We start from the raw sequence: 19764 nt of genomic DNA, 5'->3' as shown, positions 1-19764 counted from the left end.
AATCCTCAATAAAGGATTTCTGAAATATGTGCATGGTTCCTAACCTAAACACTCTACATCTCTTTAATAGGATTGACTTGGATGCATTCTTTTAGGCTAGGTCTAATATTGGTTATTTTGTGTAAATGATATTAGTAGAATTTTAAAGGGTAGTATGAGATGGTAAATGTAAAATATTTGAAATTAAAAGTTTTGCACAAATGCAATGTAATTATTGTTGCTTCTGTTGTTAGTATTATATACCCACCATAAAGACCAATACATTTGAGAAATAAAAGTAAACTCTATGAAATTTATTCCTGGTAATCACAGATAGCAACAACGAAAGTTCACAGTGAAGGATATTTGAGAGAGGACATTATTATGAAAAGCTGTTGATTTATTTTGCATTTTTTTCTGTGGACTTACCTTACAGCAAAAAAAAAAAAAAAAAAAGGGAAACTTTTTTTTTCCTCTTATCTTGCTAATTGAGTACAGGAAGGTTAACCCATCTAAATATTTTTACAAGAAAGTAAGAGGATAAAATAAATCTGTCTCAGAGCATCAGACTAATAATATAATGTGAATACCAGTAATTCACCTTGCTTTCTCACTTTTTCATTGAACAATAAAATTTAGATGAATCTAAAAAAGGAGACGATACGTTATAAATCCTTGCCAATGTTTAGGTGAGCTCTGGCTTGAGTTAACAATGTAAATAACTAACTTTTATATTTCACTGTGTACTAGGCATCACTCTAAACTACAGCAACCCTATAACATGATAAGTGGTGTTACTGTCATCCCATTTAATAGATGAGGAAACTGAGGCACAGAGGTTAAATAATGTGTCCAGGGCTCAAGGAACTGAAAGGTGGTGGCAGAGTCATTTTCTATCACAATTTTTATGTTAAATGGTTATATTTTAAGTGTTTGTGAGCTTCATTTCTATCATGAATAAATGTATTCCTTTTTCATCCACAGGCTGTATGTTTGAAAAGGGCCCCAGGCAGTTTTATGATGACACCTGTGTTGTCCCAGAAAAATTCGATGGTAGGTTTTACACTTTGCCTCAAGTTCTGATTTTTTTAAAGATGGAGTGATTACCTTCGCTTCTTCTGAAAACAGTGGACATCCCTACTTAAAGATTCCTATGCACATAATTCATCATGCACTTAATTTTAGCCAACGTTGACCTATTACAATTTATCTCTTCCTTGCCCCAGTAGGAAACCTTTTCTTTTGTGTTAGGAGGGAGTTCATTTTTGGAGAAATAGACAAAGAGCATCATTCTTGCTGAGCTTTGTGTAGCGTAAGAGGGGGCTTTCCATTGCCCTGCTGAGCACATGCAGCTTGTTATTCGAGATTTATTGAAAGCTGATCCTGTAATTAACAAAGCAGAGCAGAAAACGTGCTGCTGTGGATGGACCGATGACTAACGCGGCCTCTCTTCTTTCATTGTTCATGGAAAGATGCATTATGGAACACAGGAACAACATAACTGCCCATTTAGTTAGTGATTGTTAGTCCCTTTTTTTTTTTTTTTTTAACTGGGGAAGATGTATGTTACTAATGTAGCATGACTTTGTAATTGCTTAAAAGGGAGTTAGGAAAGCATTACCTTTTTAATATCACTTGCTATTGCAATGCAGAGGTCTCAGATGTTAGAAAAGGGTGTCAAGTTAAATTGAATTTTTTTTTTGACAAAGGTGACAAAAGTTGGCATCTTGAGGAAGCTTGGGTAAAAAGTAAACAGTTAATTGATTTAGTGGTTCTTCAGAGTGGTTTTCATATTTCCTGCTTTGATCGTTTGACAGGAAACCAGCAGGGGCCCTGTGATTCACTGATTGCACAAACTTTGGGGGTCATGGCTATAATGACTTGGGTGCTCTCTGAAGTTTTAAATTGTCATTATTTAAACAGCAATGTACATGCTCAGATTGCTTTTCAATTTCTAATTAGTTGCTTGGAGACTACCCCATGTTCCCGAGCTTTGTGCTACCCTTACCCTTCTCAGAAGGGCTGGTAAGTCTAGGGAAGATCTGCTTCTTTATCCTCCTTTAGATTTCTAAATTCATTCAAGGTCAAAAAAAAAATTATAGGAATCACATTTTTGGTTTTATTCTACAACAGATGTTAGCTTTAAGCTTTGCATTTCAGAGGGGTGAGCCGTACTATTTAGCAACATTAGCAGAGCATCAGCATTCTTAAAATATAGCATTTTCTCTTAGACAAAGTATATAAAGCCTCTTACTCTTGGAATGACCTTCATTAGTTTCTTTCGTGTTTGGTGAGCTTCATATTTGCAGAGATCTTGAAAATTAGTAAGGGCATATAAGAAAGAAAAATATCTCAAAATTATGGACAGAATTACAATATAATCTGACAGGCCAAAGTCACACTAATATTTAGGGAACAAGCTGCCTTGATTATTTATTCCCTTCGACTTTTAAATACTCTTCAATTTTACACTAATAAAACATTTTTTGGAAGATAGTATTTGCCTTGTATTTTATAAGTAATGTAGAACAAGAAGAAAGAAAAATGAGGGGGTTATTTTTTCACTGTACATGGTCAGTGTGATCAGTCACATTTATAGGCAGAAGCAATATAGAGACTATAAAATGTAACAGTGTTTCACTCTATCTGCATAATTACTCAGTTACTCCCATAAAAAAAACATTGTAAATCTCAGAAGGAAAAACTGAGATAAATAAAACTGTCATTGAAATCGATATGAAGATACACTTCTATATTATCATGTTAAGACCAAAACAACATAATGATTTTAGCAGCTATTGACTCACACATTTTATATTTTGGTTTAGGTTTTTCAAATGTTGCCCTTTCTGTAATTATTTTAAGAGGTATATGTCTCTCTACTGACCATAGGTAAGTTTTAGAAAGTGTGCAATTTGGTCTATTTTATAATGCACACTTAGTATGACTACATAGGCTTAGATATATTTTGTCTGGATTGTTTCTTTAGCGGAGAAGAGCAATTTATGCACTAACAATGACATACTTGCAGGGCCCTAGACACTCAATCCCCAATGTGAGCAGTTCCACCTATTTTTGAGACATGTGGCTGGAGATGGAAGTAAATAATCAGAAGTCATGAAACTTTGTATTTTTTTTTGTAAAATTAATATAACTGACCAGATTTATACCAGAAGCATTGCAACATGAACACCTTTATTGCTGTGCTCTATTTAACAGATTTTTACACTAGATATGAATATCAAATAAATATAACACAAACTTTTTGTGCTTAAAAATACATACTTACAGAAATCTCTCGTGCATGCATTTTTAAATTGGACTTTTAGAAAAAACAATAGCAAGTTAAATTCAAGTGAGTGAAGTACAAGCAAGAGATAAAGAAAAATGAGAGAGAATTTTTGTTACCAGTTGAAAAAGTAGTAGCTTTAATAGGAAGGTATATGATGCGGTGAAGGAAGGGTAGTACTACGATAATGCAGTATGCCCTGAATTACCCACAAGATTTTCCTTATTTATATAAAGTGAAGATTACTTAACTCAGTTTAGGATACTATTAAATTTGCTTTGAAATATTTGCATTAAAATTTTCAATAGTTTTTCATGAGCAGGTCAATAAGATATTTATAAATTATAGTTTGCAGAATTTAATTTGTATGAATCAAATGCCCAGAGCTTAAGATTGATTATTCCCTCTTCAGTGTTGCCTAGAGCAGTGGGTAATAGCATTAACAATAAAAGCAAAGAAGTCTGATTAGATACGATGGTTTTTAAAGAAATCAATTTAAAAAAAAAGATAGTTCCACAATATTTTTGTAAGTAAATGATGTGTGTCATTCATATTGACACAGGATTTATTCTGCACCTGTGTTATATATAGTTATCTGTAAGTTCGTACAGCTTGCTCATTTATATTCAACCATTTAACTATTTTAAATTCCTCTTTAATGGTAATAATATATTTCATAAATGCCCATAAAGTGGTTGATTGTGGTTTAACCATATTAGTGATTGATTTAATGTACATTTTATGTAAGATAGCATAGTATTGCTAATAATAGAAACTTAAAAATGTTTTAATTTAGGAGACATCAAACAAGAGCCAGGAATGTATCGGGAAGGACCCACATACCAACGGCGAGGATCACTTCAGCTCTGGCAGTTTTTGGTAGCTCTTCTGGATGACCCTTCAAATTCTCATTTTATTGCCTGGACTGGTCGAGGCATGGAATTTAAACTGATTGAGCCTGAAGAGGTTAGTTTAATAGATTTTAATTAGGACACTCAGACATGTTATAACATAAAGAAACTGACACATTTGATTAATATACCAAAAATGTATTCTTAATCATTTCAAGACTTTAGGGAAACTTTCTGAATTAAAAAGCATGCAAAGATAAAACATGTCTACCTTTAAAATCACCAATGTATTGCGTGTTCCTTCCGGTTGTATACAATCCTACAAAATTGATGTTGGAGAAAATTAACCAGAGCATGCTTTGCACCTTTATTTAAGAATGTCTGGCTTCAGGGTTTCTAAAGGAGCATCTGAATTAGAGAAAAGAGGCAGGAGGGAGGTTTTATGGTCCTTAGGAGAGAGGAACGATGTCTGCAAAAGTCAACTGGTTGGGGGATGGGTGAATTATTCTTTCAAATTAGCAATCATTATTTGGACAACTTGGATTTTGTCATGAGGGTTGGAGAGGAGCATTTAGAGGCCAAAGTTATGTTCAAAAGAAGATTGGGGAAAAACAGCTGTGGCGGATAAAGGGATGCAAGGGCAACAGTGGAAAATTCTCAGCCCTTAAGTGTCTCTTACAAGACACAGGCCTGGTAGAAACATTTTCCTTTGTCCGTGACACTTGTTCCAAGTCAGCTGGACTGGCATACTCCATTGGAAGGTTGGGATGAAGTTTAAAATGTTGCCATAGCACATAAAAAATTACTAAAATAAGAAGAGCCTGGACAGAGATAATACTGTACAGAGAAATGGAGGACACCTTCAACTAACTTCAATTGTCCCCTCCTTCCCACTCCCCACATACAAATGGAGTATTTCCATGAAGAATTTCTCAGTTCAGTTTTTATTCTTCCCAGAACTAGCTTTAGGCTTAAGGCTACTATTGTTCCTGTAGCATAACTCATCAATAGCATTTTGGACTGCTGATGGAAAGGTGAAGTTAATATCAAATTGTTGTGTCTTCATTACTAAAGATACTTTCTCTGCTACTATTAAAATTGACTTTAGTTTATATCAGCCAAAAAAGCAATGGAAGATTTTTAGCTACCATACCTCTAACTGATTATATTAGGTATTGAATCTAAACACCTCAGTAATATTGAAAAATTCAGTAAGTTTAAAAAATGTTTGAACCCAAAGTGATTTTCATATACACTGAACATCCACACCCTTGACTACTGGGTCCATCATCTTGAATTTTCTGTCTTTATTAAACCACGTATTCAACTATAATCAGATAATATGCCCTAATTTGATGCCCAGAAGATAAGTTTACATAACTTCTTGAAATTTAAGAGATTATCTGACTCGAGAATGTACTGAAAGTATGAAATAAAAGGCACTGGTTAGAACAGTCAAGTCTCCTTCAGTTTATATCAATACTTTAGTAACACTAGAGGGTTAGTTTTGCAGTATCTCCCTTGCCCCACATCAAGCACGCACACACAGAAGACTCAATGTCAGTATTTGAAAATTCTCATTATCTAGGATGACGTTTGGGTGTTTGAATGCTGTAGTGTGTTTAAAATTAACTTAGCTGTCAAAGAAGATTAGTTTTTTCATAGATACTCTCACATGATGTAAGTGAAAGAACCACAAAAATGTTAAGCACTAACAAATTGAGACTAGAAGCATTTAACAAAGTAATTTGAAAGCCCTTTCGCATGATGGGAGTGTGTGCTCTTCACCTCATGGAAGATGTTAATAATCACTGCAAGAGTTGGTTCATGCTGGAACTGAGCACTTTCTACAGGGATTTGTATCAGTTAAACAGTTATTTCCCTTCACCTGTGATTAAAATGAACTGAGCAGAGGTTTTTGTTGTTGTTCCTGCCATATATTTGTTAAGATAGGGAACATTACTGAATTATGCCAGTATTTCTTGATCCACTCAGAAGAAGAAAAATTCTTTTGCAAATGATTAAGCTTTTTATATAGCAACTGTTGACTTTTATGATGTTCAGATTTGAGTAAGTAGGAGATTTGACTAGATGACCATTAAGTTTCATCAAATTCTGAGTTACTGTGATTTTTAAATGGAGGGAAGAAGTAGAATTACATCTGTTCCATACAACAGACTGACATTTAGACAACTCTTCTGTAGCAGCCTCATAAAGTTAAAAAGAGGCTGGATAATTCAGAGTCAGTAGAGCGTTTCCAAATAATAACCAACTCAATGGGAATTGTGCAATAAGCACTGAATGTCTCCTAAGGCTTTTGTTCAAAATGAAACATCCCATATCTGATTGCTGCATTGCTGACTGTTGCAATTACTTCCATCAGGCAATGACTGTAGGGTCTTGTTTAAATTTCTTCTTTGGAAAGGGTTTGTGAAATTTCTTGTCTTTGTGACCTGTGGTCACCCTGTTCCCTCTACTGCCTAGCAGCTCATTGGGTGCCTGTGTCAGCACAGTCCGTGAAAGATGTCTCTGAAGCCATCTTATTGGAATTACTGATGGGTTCCATTTCTTTATATTTCATCTTGCATTTTAAAATGATATTGAGTGAGACTCCAGACCTGCACAGATTATCTGCTCAGTGTGTTTAGGGTAACTTTAGAAAACGCATAATCTTTAACATGTCTTTTTCTTAGATATTTGAGATAATGAAATACTATTTTTGAATTAGTCATGTCTCCTAGGGAATTGTTCCAGGAAACAATTTTTTTTTTTTTTTTTTTTTGAGATGGAATCTCACTCTGTCACCCAGGCTGGAGTGCAGTGGTGCGACCTTGGCTCACTGCAATCTCTGCCTCCCGGGTTCAAGTGATTCTCCTGCCTCAGCCTCCCCAGTAGCTGGGACTTCAGGTGTGCACCCCCACACCCAGCTAATTTTTGTATTTTTAGTAGGGACGGGGTTTCACTATGTTGGCCAGGGTGGTCTTGAACTCCTGACCTCAGGTGATCTGCCCACCTCAGCCTCCCAGAGTGCTAGGATTACAGGTGTGAGCCACTGTGCCCGGCCGGGAAACAATTATTAACATAGAAAGTCGTCTGTAAGACTCAGTATAAAAGTCTTTTGATGAAATTGAAGCTTGTTGAGCTGGAAGAGTTACCAGGAAGTCTGATAGCCAGGCCCTGATTGTTGTTATCAGGTTCAGTGTTACATATTCAAGCGTGATATTTTAAAATAAGTTGATTAATGCTTGAACTATTACATTATCTTATTTAATTTATTTGACAATAAGGGTGAATGCCATAGTGCTATCATCTTTTTACTCTCTTCACTAACAACTCAAGTTTTCATTTGAAGGCGTATATAAGGAAGTCACTGGAAGTTTTCCCACCATTTTTCCCACTCCATATTGGAAACTATGCCTTGACTTTGAGTGGTGTTGGATATGGTGGCGATTGGTCGGTCGTATGTGAAGGCTGAATGAACTTTCTTAGTTGGTGGTTGGCCTACCTGGCCTGGAATTATTTACGCTGTTAATTTATAACTTTTGTCTTGTCTGCATCTCTTAAGCATATTGCTCTCTCCCATTTACCTCAACTTTATGAGGAATATGACACTAAAACAACTCTAAGACTACATTTTATTGTTTTTAAATGTCCACTAATACCCATGATGCTGAGAATGAACTGGCATGATAAGTATCAAACTCTGTGGTATTTTTAAAAATCATATTTCTCTCTCCAGAGACCTCCACAACATTGTATTAAAGTTGTTGTGAGTATGTGAGTATTTTATTTTCTAGGTGCATCCTGGTGAGTTTCTAGAAAATAATCCTTTATAAATGAATAAGGATTCAGAAATTATTGTTTAAGGAGATACTAATACTTTATTTTCACATCCCCTCCAGGTTTGCATATAGTTCGGCTGCTATGCCTATTAAAGGTTCACTGATGTCCATAGTTAGGTTTTTGAATGAAATATTCTTTAGAAAATGCTTTCATTTCTTATTGCCTCCCCCCAGCGCCCCCACCCCCGCTTCAATTCACTATTGCTCAGAAGATTTACATTAAAATGAAGTTTATCTTTGGGAAATTGAGATGTTCCTGCCACTGTGATTGTCTGCTGGGATATATGATGTTGTCCCTGTTACATCGCATCTCTCTACTCTTAAAAAACATACTGATGCATGTCATTAAAGTACTTTATTTCTTCATTCAGAGAATAAAAATTACTGAGAGGGAAAATAGCTAGGATCGGTATTTCTAAAGGAAAAAAAAAACCTGGAGAAAGGTTATTACTAATAAAGCAAAGAGAGACAGAATGATCTCTTTGAAAAGCAATCTATTTTAGTATATATGACATAGCAACAACTTGGAATTTTATGGAAATGAAGGCGCTCCCTAGCCCTATTAGATAATGTCCTCTTGGGGTTGCCTAGGTTTGCGTGGCAGCTGCAGTTTCTTCTCAGACTAATAAAAAGTGGAAATTAATGAGAGAGTGACTTTAGCTGGGGTAGGAAAAGCAAGCTACACTATTCTGTATACTGCTTTGGCTAGCCTGGGGTGGTGATGAGGTAGGGATATATATACATTGAGGAGAGAGGATTTTTTTTAAAGCTCTATTGAAAAACTCTTAGATACATTGCTCCTCCAAAGCCACATAATAAAAAGCTCTGAGTTTTTTTATTAAACAACAGAGTAGACATTCTGCTTTAGAGATTTTTGTTTGTGGACTCATATACATGGTGACCTTTTCCACTTCCTTCTTATTTTTAGCATCCAATTACCGTTCTCTAAATGAATGCTTAATTCTTCAGTTTGGTATTACCCACAGTTTTATTCGGCTGCTGCTTTAGGCAATAAAAAGTATTTGCAGTTCGGTTTATTAATTTGTGTACTGTTTCCTCTGCTACACACATTGTCACTTGTTCACTCTTTCATATAGTATTGAGCAGGGTATCTTTTTTCCTTTGGCTTATCATAACCTCAGTAAAACACCTTTACAAGGAGATCACTAAGCTGCTCTTTATCTATAGTTTTTGTCTGAAAAACCAAGAAGGATAAAACAGACAGTATATCTCAGAATGAAAAACGTGCCTCATTTTGGTGAACTGTAGCCTGTTCATTCCTGTTGTAAGAACATTTCCTTATTTCCATTTAATTTTGTATTCAAAACAATAGTGACAAATAATTCTATTGTGGTGTTTTAGAAGGATCACTGCACGCCTGGTTTAAAATGCAAACCAGGCCAGGCGCAGTGGCTTACTCCTGTAATCCCAACACTTTTGGAGGCCAAGGTGGGTGGACCACCTGAGGTCAGGAGTTCGAGACCAGCCTGGCCAACATGGTGAAACCCCACCTCTACTAAAAATACAAAAATTAGCCGGGCGTGGTGGGGCCCACCTGTAATCCCACCTACTCAGAAGGCTGAGGCAGGAGAATTGCTTGAACACAGGAGGCGGAGGTTGCAGTGAGCCAAGTTCGCGCCACTGCACTCCCAGCCTGGGTGACAGAGCAAGACTCTGTTTCAAAAAAAAAAAAAAAAGCAAACCAGGAGACAGGAAATCCAGATTACGATAGCTCTTGCTACTTTACTTATATCCTTGAGTTGGACATTTTTGTGGGTTTGGAAGTAATTAATTAAATAATTTTTATGAAATATGCTGATAAGTTAATACTTAACACTACAATGTAATTCTGTTTCGCGGCAGGTGGCCCGACGTTGGGGCATTCAGAAAAACAGGCCAGCTATGAACTATGATAAACTTAGCCGTTCACTCCGCTATTACTATGAGAAAGGAATTATGCAAAAGGTGAGCAGCTAATACAGCATTAAAATTCATTGAAATGTTGCACATTAATCTGAACATCATACTTTAAACGCCACATATCATTGCATTGCTGAAGCGAGTTTTTCACTCATTTTAACAAATGCTTAGCTCTTGGTTTTGGTATTACAAGCCTTTCTATGTATAAATGCCTAGACATTGTAGACAAATGTGTAGTGATATTGTATACAGAATAATAGGCTTTCTGGAAGGTCCTACTTTGCTGCACATGGTTAAAAAAGATTGTTTTAGTATTAATAGCACATCTGTCTTCAGAAGTTTTTATTGCACATTGTCTACAATTATATAATTTTGGAATGCTTTTGTTTATAGCAATAAAGAATCTTTAGAATAAATTTGTACTTTTTTCTTGTTTTGATTCTTAAAACAGACATTTCTTTTTCTCATTTGTGAAAACATTTTCTTCCTTGCCTCAAATCTTGCCTAGTTTTATCATCTGATAGTTTGACATCCTAAACCATTCATTAAAAATGAACATTTGATCTTATTTGGTTTGTGGAAGTTCAATATATTTTATTTCAAATGAGCTTCCCATAATATTTGAAAGTAGCTTTTTGTTTGTTTGTTTGTTTTGAGACAGATTCTAGCTCTGTCGCCTAGGGTAGAGTGCAGTGGCGTGATCTTGGTTCACTGCAACCTCAGTCCCCCAGGTTCAAGCAGTTCTCCTGCCTCAGCCTCCTAAGTTGCTGGGACTACAGGTGCGCACCACCACACCCAGCTAATTTTTGTGTTCTTAGAAGAGATGGCGTTTCGCCATATTGGCCAGGCTGGTCTTGAACTCCTGACCTCAGGTGATCTGCCTGCCTTGGCCTCCAAGGGGCTAGGATTACAAGCATGAGCCAATGCACCCAGCCAAGAGTAGCTTTTTAAAAAAGAGTAGAGAAAAAACAAGTGAATTACACTTAAAATAAAATACAACATTTTTGAAGAAAGGAATAAATAAATGAATGAAGATAAAACGTGGATATTTGTTTTTATTACACCCTTTAGCTTTGCAAGTGTACAGAAATCTAATTGCTTTGACTGTGAACCAAGTTTATGATTTACCTATTGTGAACGTTACAGTTTTATTTTGTATCATTTGTTTATTTTAGGGTTTGTAAACATAGTTACATGTTATAGATTGTGGCACATTTTTATGTCACCATAGTTTTACCCAGAAAAACTAGACCAGTTGCTACATGAAGCTTATTAGAGCAGCGAAAAATAGCACTGTTGACTTTCCTAGAACATTGTCTATTGACAAGAGGCATATTATCTCAGTGCCCTAGAATTTGCTGGCTCAGACGTTAGAACTTCCATGATCCTTAAAAGAAAAGGCTGACTTCGATTTTCAGTTGCTTCCTGTTTTCTCAATCATGCCTTCAAAATGTATAACAGTTTACTACCTGCTCCTCCTGTCTTTTTCATCTCAACCCTGGGGTCATTTCTAATTCCTCCCTTTCTCTCACCTACCTTTTTGTAGTAAGATCCTTCAAATACATTCCATTCCTTTCTTTTCACCACCATCTTCCTAATGCGGGGGCACATTGCCTGGGCTGTCACAGATGGTGCTCAGCAGTGTCCCCGGGCAGTATTGCACAGCAGTAACAGATAAGGCAGTCAGGAATTAGGTTTGAATGCTAGCCTCTCACCAGATTACATTCTTGAACAGATTATTTTCCTAGTAAATGGTGATATTCTTGCCTCATTAAAGTTGCTGTGATTATTAAATGAAATAATGTACTTGAGATACTTTACATTGTAACTGGCACAATGTAAAGTATATCTGAACTCCTGGGCTCCAGCAATCCTCCTGCCTCAGCCTCCTGAGTAGCTGGAACTACAGGTTTGCATCACTGCACCCAGCTAATCACATTCTCGGATATGTACCATTCTGATGTTCAAGTAAATTCTAGTATAGTCATTCAGAGGAAAACTATGCTGTCCTTTTTTAAATAGCAAAAACTATGATGTTGAATTATATATTTTAACATGTAGGAGAAAATATTTATATGGCTATATTTGTTCACTAACTTAAAACTTTGTGGGCATATGTGGTGTATATAATATAGAAAATTAGAAGATTAGAGAAAAATAAAAATAACTTACATCTGAACATGTTAAAAAAATTGAAAACTGGTAATTAATTTTAGTAATACGGAAGAAGTAAGAAACAATGGAACAGTGTATGTTTACCTTACAGACAATGCCTATGTGTACTTCTATTTCAAAATTAGGAAATGCCTAGAACAATATATACCAATATGTTAATGGTGATTATATTCTGGATGATATAATTATAGACCCTTTGTTTTAACTTAATTGATAATTTCTAATTTATCCTTCAGTATCCCCATATTACTTCTGAAATTTTAAGAGATAAAACATAATTTGAATATCCAGCCATTGAAAGCACAGCTCTAAAGCTATCTCCTTGTTTACTTTTGATTTATCTCCCTGGAAAAATTCCTGTTTTTTCTGTCTGTCTCAGTGTTGCATTTTGGCTATACTTAATGTACAGCATTTTGCACGTTAGTACTTCTGTTACTCATAATGGAAGACATCATTCCCCTTGGTTGGTTATCATCCCTTGTTCTAAACTCAGTAGCATTTAACATAGTCCAGCAAATGAAGTAGTAGCCCTAAAAATGTTTATTCAAAAGCAATACAGAAGGAAGCAGTGAGGAAAGGCAGAGTCCTTGAGAGATTGCATAAGCTTGATTGCATGTTACACATTTTAATTCATTTATTACATAATTTTTAAGTATAGCCAGTAGCAACCCGTCAAAGGAAGTCCAGTACTTAAAGCAAATGTATCTTCCTCCACAGCCCCAAACAAAACAAAGCACATTATAAAACACTCAGAGGTATGCAGGCCATTTATTTTATTTTATTTTTTCTCCAAATACTTTGAACAAAGAAAAAAATAAAGGAAAACTAGGATTTACTATCTCAGCTTTGTTCCTGATAGTGCTATTTTTATGTTTATGGTCATTTCATCATTTCACCTTTAAGATCTTAATTTTCTTTGTATGAAGGACTAAAGTAAATAAATGTATGCCAGACTCCTCTGTTTCTGGCACAGTGCTCTGTGCTGGAGACTTCCATCCCAACCTTGCAATGGGCTTTCTGAGGCGCCATTCCTGTCTCCATTTCACAGCAAAGGCCACTGAGAGGTAGTCTAAGAAACAGGTCCAAATTCATAAAAACTACTAAATGTTCATTCTTTCAAACCTAGGTACATTCAGATTATTTGAATTCTCTAAAGTGGTTCCTCTTACTTAAATTCAGGGCAAAAGAAACAAAAAATGTTCTAAATTTGAATTCAGAGCAGCAGCATTCATTGACAATTGTTACTTTTCCCTCAAAGATATAACAATACTTTATAACCCAGGAACACACTGTTGCCCCACATCAAAAATCAACTAGCAAATGCCTTGTTGATATACAGGAACATGGAGGTGTTGTGTCACCTTCAGCTTTCTAAAATCTCATACCTTTACACACACCCATACAAAGTGACTATCAAAGTTAATAGAAAGAACTGTATTCATCCACCCATCCCCCCACCCCGGGTTTTGAGAGCATCTCAGCATTGTCTATTAACAAGAGGCGTATTCATCTCACTCAGTTGTTTATAATTTTCTAGGGAAGCATTACTCTTCAGAATTTAAGTTTGGGGTATGTCATACCCTATAAATTATGCTACTTCTTTATTCCAGGCAGTTGTCACATTTCTTTTTCTCATTTCCTCCCTGTGCATTGTGTATTTTAAATTCCTTTCACTTTTTTACACCTCTTACTTCAATTTGACACTTTACACACATCCTTAACTCTGTCTAATGCATCTTGCCTTCATTTTTAAAAGTGATGTACCCAGGATACTGTCCTTTTGATCCATCTTTCATTTAAATGAGGCTGTGTATCCTTTCTTTCTTTCTTTCTTTCTTTCTTTCTTTCTTTCTTTCTTTCTTTCCTTTCTTTCTTTTTCTTTTTCTTTCTCTCTCCTTTCTTTCTTTCTCTCTCTCTTTTCTTTCTTTCTTTATTTCTTTCCTTTCTTTCTTCTTTCAACACACACTGCCAAAAAAGAAAAAAAGTAAAGAATCCATTTATTCTGTGAATCAGTGAATTACTAGTCTAGTCTTATTGGGAATAAAGCACATTTTTCTTTTAAATTTTGAATTTAGTTTTTCTACCATTTCAGATATGTAATATTAAGAGGGACAGTGTACCTTAAAAGTACAGATTTGTAGATACTACCTTTTAAAATGCAGAAAAAAAGCTTTCAATATGAAATGCCTGCATTAAATAATTGACTTTTTTTCAAAACAACGATGTAAGTTTACCTCTATATTAAGACAAGCAAATTCCTGTGCTTCCTAGCTATATCTGGAATTAATTAATTATTATTCAAGGTCAACATTTTGCATCTCCCTTGACTGAACTGTAGTTTATTCCACAAAGTAAAGACTTTTTTTTTTTTATGTGTATCTGCTATTAGTTGTTTGCTTTTTTGGGCCAGAGTTACCCATCCTTTCCTGTATATTAAACCACGTTTTTGGCTTTTTCCTTCCTGTCCTTCCCCATCTGGCGATGGTGAGGATGGGTTTTTCTCTTCCATGTTATCATCAGGTGGCTGGAGAGAGATATGTCTACAAGTTTGTGTGTGATCCAGAAGCCCTTTTCTCCATGGCCTTTCCAGATAATCAGCGTCCACTGCTGAAGACAGACATGGAACGTCACATCAACGAGGAGGACACAGTGCCTCTTTCTCACTTTGATGAGAGCATGGCCTACATGCCGGAAGGGGGCTGCTGCAACCCCCACCCCTACAACGAAGGCTACGTGTATTAACACAAGTGACAGTCAAGCAGGGCGTTTTTGCGCTTTTCCTTTTTTCTGCAAGATACAGAGAATTGCTGAATCTTTGTTTTATTTCTGTTGTTTGTATTTTATTTTTAAATAATAATACACAAAAAGGGGCTTTTCCTGTTGCATTATTCTATGGTCTGCCATGGACTGTGCACTTTATTTGAGGGTGGGTGGGAGTAATCTAAACATTTATTCTGTGTAACAGGAAGCTAATGGGTGAATGGGCAGAGGGATTTGGGGATTACTTTTTACTTAGGCTTGGGATGGGGTCCTACAAGTTTTGAGTATGATGAAACTATATCATGTCTGTTTGATTTCATAACAACATAAGATAATGTTTATTTTATCGGGGTATCTATGGTACAGTTAATTTCACGTTGTGTAAATATCCACTTGGAGACTATTTGCCTTGGGCATTTTCCCCTGTCATTTATGAGTCTCTGCAGGTGTACAAAAAAACCCCAATCTACTGTAAATGGCAGTTTAATTGTTAGAAATGACTGTTTTTGCACCACTTGTAAAAAGGTATTTAGCGATTGCATTTGCTGTTTGTTGTTTTATTTTGCTTTATATATGACTTGCAGAGGATAACCATAAAATGGGTAATTCTCTCTGAAGTTGAATAATCACCATGACTGTAAATGAGGGGCACAATTTTGGACTCTGGCGCCAAACTGAGTCATAGGCCAGTAGCATTACGTGTATCTGGTGCCACCTTGCTGTTTAGATACAAATCATACCGTCTTTTAAATATTTTGAAGCCCATTTCAGTTAAATAATGACATGTCATGGTCCTTTGGAATCTTCATTTAAATGTTAAATCTGGAATCAAAATGAAGCAAAAAATATCTGTCTCCTTTTCACTTTCTTCAGTACATAAATACATTATTTAATCAATAAGAATTAACTGTACTAAATCATGTATTATGCTGTTCTAGTTACAGCAAACACTCTTTAAGAAAAATATCCAATACACTAAATAGGTACTATAGTAATTTTTAGACATGGTACCCATTGATATGCATTTAAACCTTTTACTGCTGTGTTATGTTGATAACATATATAAATATTAGATAATGCTAATGCTTCTGCTGCTGTCTTTTCTGTAATATTCTCTTTCATGCTGAATTTACTATGACCATTTATAAGCAGTGCAGTTAACTACAGATAGCATTTCAGGACAAAATAGATGACTCAAACCATTTATTGCTTAAAAAATAGCTTACGCCATGCTATGCTATAAGCAGCTTTTATGCACATTGACAAATGAAGAGTAAGCTTCAGCTTGCTAAAGGAAACTGTGGAACCTTTTGTAACTTTTGGTGATATGGAAAATTATTTACAAACCGTCAAAGAATATGAGGAAGTTGCTGTATGACATAGTGCTGGCACTGATATTATCCATCATCTCTTTTTGGACACTTCTGTAAATGTGATTGGATTGTTTGAAAGAAGATTTAAAGTTTCAAAGTTTTTTGTTCTGTTTTTGCTTTGCATTTGGAGAAAATATTGAAAGCAGGGTATGTTGTTTCATTCACCTTGAAAAAACCATGAGTAAATGGGGATATAGAATCTCTGAATAGCTCGCTAAAAGATTCAAGCAAGGGACATGAATTTTGTTCCATCTATCAATAATATCCAGAAGAACAACTTTTTTAAAGAGTCTATAGCAAAAAGCAAAAAAAAAAAAAAATTCTAAACACAAAGTCAAAATAAACCTATTGTAAAAGCATTTCGTGATGAGCATGAAAAAGATTGTTTAAAGATGATCCCCCCAGCTACCCATTTTCCAAAACTACACAGATCACAGCTCATTTCTCTAAGTGGAGCAGTTATCAAGAAACCCAAACACCAAAATTGCTACTCTTCACATTTAATCCTACAAAAAGTACTCCAATTTCAAAATATGTATGTAACCTGCGATTTCAATGATTGTTGTTCATATACATCATGTATTATTTTGGCCCATTTTGGGCCTAAAAAAGAAAACTATGCCTTAAAAATCAGAACCTTTTCTCCCCACTATGCTTATGTGGCCATCTACAGCACTTAGAATAAAAACAGATGTTAAAATATTCAGTGAAAGTTTTATTGGAAAAAGGAATTGAGATATATAATTGAGATTTGGTGAAATTGAAGGAGAAAATTTAAGTGAGTCTTTAAAATATATTCTGAATGAAAACTGTATTGAGGATTCATTTTTGTTCCTTTTTTTTCTTTTTCTCTTTTCTCCTTTTTCTTCTTTTTAATAGTCTAGTTTTAGTCAGTCAGTGAGGAAGAATTGGGCCATGCTAACGTTATCACAAGAGAACAATGGCAGAAATGGTATTAGTTATATAATATTTAAGGACAAACTATATGTTTTGCTGTTTTAACGTAGTGACTCACTGAACTAAATACATAATTGACCAACATTAAGTGTATTTCCAATACAGAAGGGTTGAAAATATTACATTATAAACTCTTTTGAAAAATGTATCTAAAATTTTTTAAGTTCTGTTTTGATTCCACTTTTTGGTTGAGTTTTTATGTTTTTGTTTTCAGGTAGATTAATAAATCTGGCAGCTGATTTCTGCAAGATTCTTGTGTTTTGAATTTCTCATTGAATTGGCTACTCAAACATAGAAATCATTTGTTAATGATGTAATGTCTTCTCTCAGCTTTTATCTTCACTGCTGTTTGCTGTCTCTTGATGATGACATGTTAATACCCAATAGATTAATTGCAACAAACACTTATACTCAAATAACTAAGTAAAAATAATTTTTCTTGTTATGTCCATGAAAAGTGCTTCAGAATAAAAATCCACAAGACTGACAGTGCAGAACATTTTTCTCAAATCATGGGCGGATCTTGGAGGTCTAGTTTCCCGTAGATGCTGTAACCAATTACCACAACTTCAGTAATTTACACAAATTTATCTTATAGTTCTGGAGGCAGAAGTTCAAAAGAAGCCTTAAGAGACTAAAACCAAGATGTCCTTAGGTCTGGTTCCTTCTGGAGGCTCCAGGGGAGATTCTTCCAGCTTTCACTTCTAGAGTCTGCTGACATTCCTTGGCTCCTGGCTACATCACTTCAATCTCTGCTTCCATGGTCACATACTCTTCTACTATAGTCAAATTTCCTTCCTGCCTCTTATAAGGATGCTTGTGATTACATTTAGGGGATGCTCAGATAATCCAGGACAATCTCTCCATCTCAAGATCCTTAACTTAATGACGTGTGCCAAGTCCCTTTGGCTAGATAATTATTCATAGGTCCCAGGGATTAGGACATGGATGTAAGGGGTGAGGGCAGGGCTGTTATTCAGAACACCGCACGGAGGAGGAAGACTGTGTAGCAAAGACTCTAATTGATTTACTCAGGAACAGTGGAGTTCTGCTGAGGGATCTAGGATTTGAAAGTACTAGAGTTTGCTTTTATTTACCACTGAGATATTTTCCCCTTATTCTGCATAAATAATTTTGAAAACTTTCTATATTAAATTTCAACTATTCCACTAAAATGTCTGGTAATCACATCAAGCCTTTAGATTATTCAAATCCTTCCCCAGCCCCCAGGAAAACACTAAGTCATGAAACAGAAAAACAGAAGGTATGATAATAATAGTAATAACAGTTAAATCAGTGGTCTAATCCAGATTTTATTTTTTAATACATTTCTTTTGGTGTTAATATGGGTTACTATGTGATCTTATCATTTGCTAGTGATTATTACTTATTAGGTAAGAACAATGTGTAAAATATGTCTATTACTCAAAAGAACAATTGCAAAATGAGTCAACTTATCTTTATATAACCAGGAAAGAAATATATTGCCAGAAGCTACAGAATTTTGCCAGATGATAGGGATTTCTAAAATGAGCCACTTTGTCTATCATGCAGCCTTTTCAGAGCTTGTAATGAGAAAACATTACAGAGGAGAAGGTCATTTGGATGTTTGTTACTTGGAATCCTAGAAAACAAAAACTAAAATTTAAAAATAAGAAGTGAGTAAGCTATTTTCCATTTGCGATTTGGTATGGAGAAGAGAGGAAATAGAATTATTAAAAAAATACAAATTGGGTAAAAGTGATGGTGGAAAAAATATAAAGAAGGCAAATGTACATATTAAGCAATTCTACTAAGAATTGGAAAAATCAAGTTTCAAAAAGATGGTAATAGTTGGGCATGATACTAGAAAATTTCACCCAGTTTATTCAGAGCTCAACTAGTACTTTTAGGACTTCTTTTTTTATATACATGAGACTCACTTTGACATACTTAAAAAAAAAACAGTTTATGGAAAGTACAGTTTAAGAGGAGAATTTGATTAGACTAAGTGGATATCTTTATAGAAATATTAATGATTTCAGAATTTTCAGTTACAAGTGTATATACCGTGGCTATTGTTTATGGATTCATATGTAAGGTAGGGTCTTTTTTGCATATAGACTCCAGTATTAGTTACTTTCATTCTAAAATTATATTTATGCTTCTATGGGGAAGAAAATTTTTAATTCACTTGGTTGTATTAAAATTATACTTACGGTTTGAGAAAACATGCTATGAAAATCATGATTATAGCAAATTAAATATGCTCAAAATTTAAATCTAAAATAAAAGCCCAGAAACTGAAAATATTGGACTGTCGTGATCACTCTGAAAGGTAGCACATCTAAAACTGATAAACGTCATCTAAATTTTTGACTGTCTTCTAATCATCGTGTCATTTTTAATAGTTTATGACCACAGCACTCAAGTAATGTGTTTGCACTACTTTGCCATATATTATTCTTTTAGATAATTTAGATACCAGGACACCTGATAAATCCTTTTTGAGTTCTACGTTCTAATCTCTGTAAATATCTTGTTTCACATAAATCCTTCAATAAATGTATCATGGAGAAATTTGGGGAAGGGAACTAACTAAATTATTTCAGTGACTCCCACATGCCAGACAGCACAGA

General features: G+C 35.0%; 1 protein-coding gene across 18 annotated transcripts in view; it reads left to right on the top strand.

The window, feature by feature from the left end:
- Window positions 1-19435, top strand: part of ETV1 (ETS variant transcription factor 1) — a 100197-nt gene extending 80762 nt beyond the window's left edge. For 17 of the 18 annotated variants that reach the window (XM_011515168.4, NM_001163148.2, XM_047419985.1 and 14 more), the window contains 4 exons: window positions 964-1032; window positions 4065-4234; window positions 9825-9926; window positions 14577-19435. In XM_011515168.4, coding sequence (XP_011513470.1) covers window positions 964-1032; window positions 4065-4234; window positions 9825-9926; window positions 14577-14798 — 563 coding nt within the window. In that variant the 3' untranslated portion in view covers window positions 14799-19435. Of the gene's footprint in view, window positions 1-963; window positions 1033-2807; window positions 2872-4064; window positions 4235-9824; window positions 9927-14576 lie in introns of all 18 variants that reach the window. The other variant, NR_120445.1, reaches the window with a different exon arrangement.

The sequence above is a fragment of the Homo sapiens genome, chromosome 7 (assembly GCF_000001405.40).
Source record: "Homo sapiens chromosome 7, GRCh38.p14 Primary Assembly".
Lineage (NCBI taxonomy): Eukaryota > Metazoa > Chordata > Mammalia > Primates > Hominidae > Homo > Homo sapiens.
This window is presented reverse-complemented; position numbering and strand designations above follow the sequence as displayed.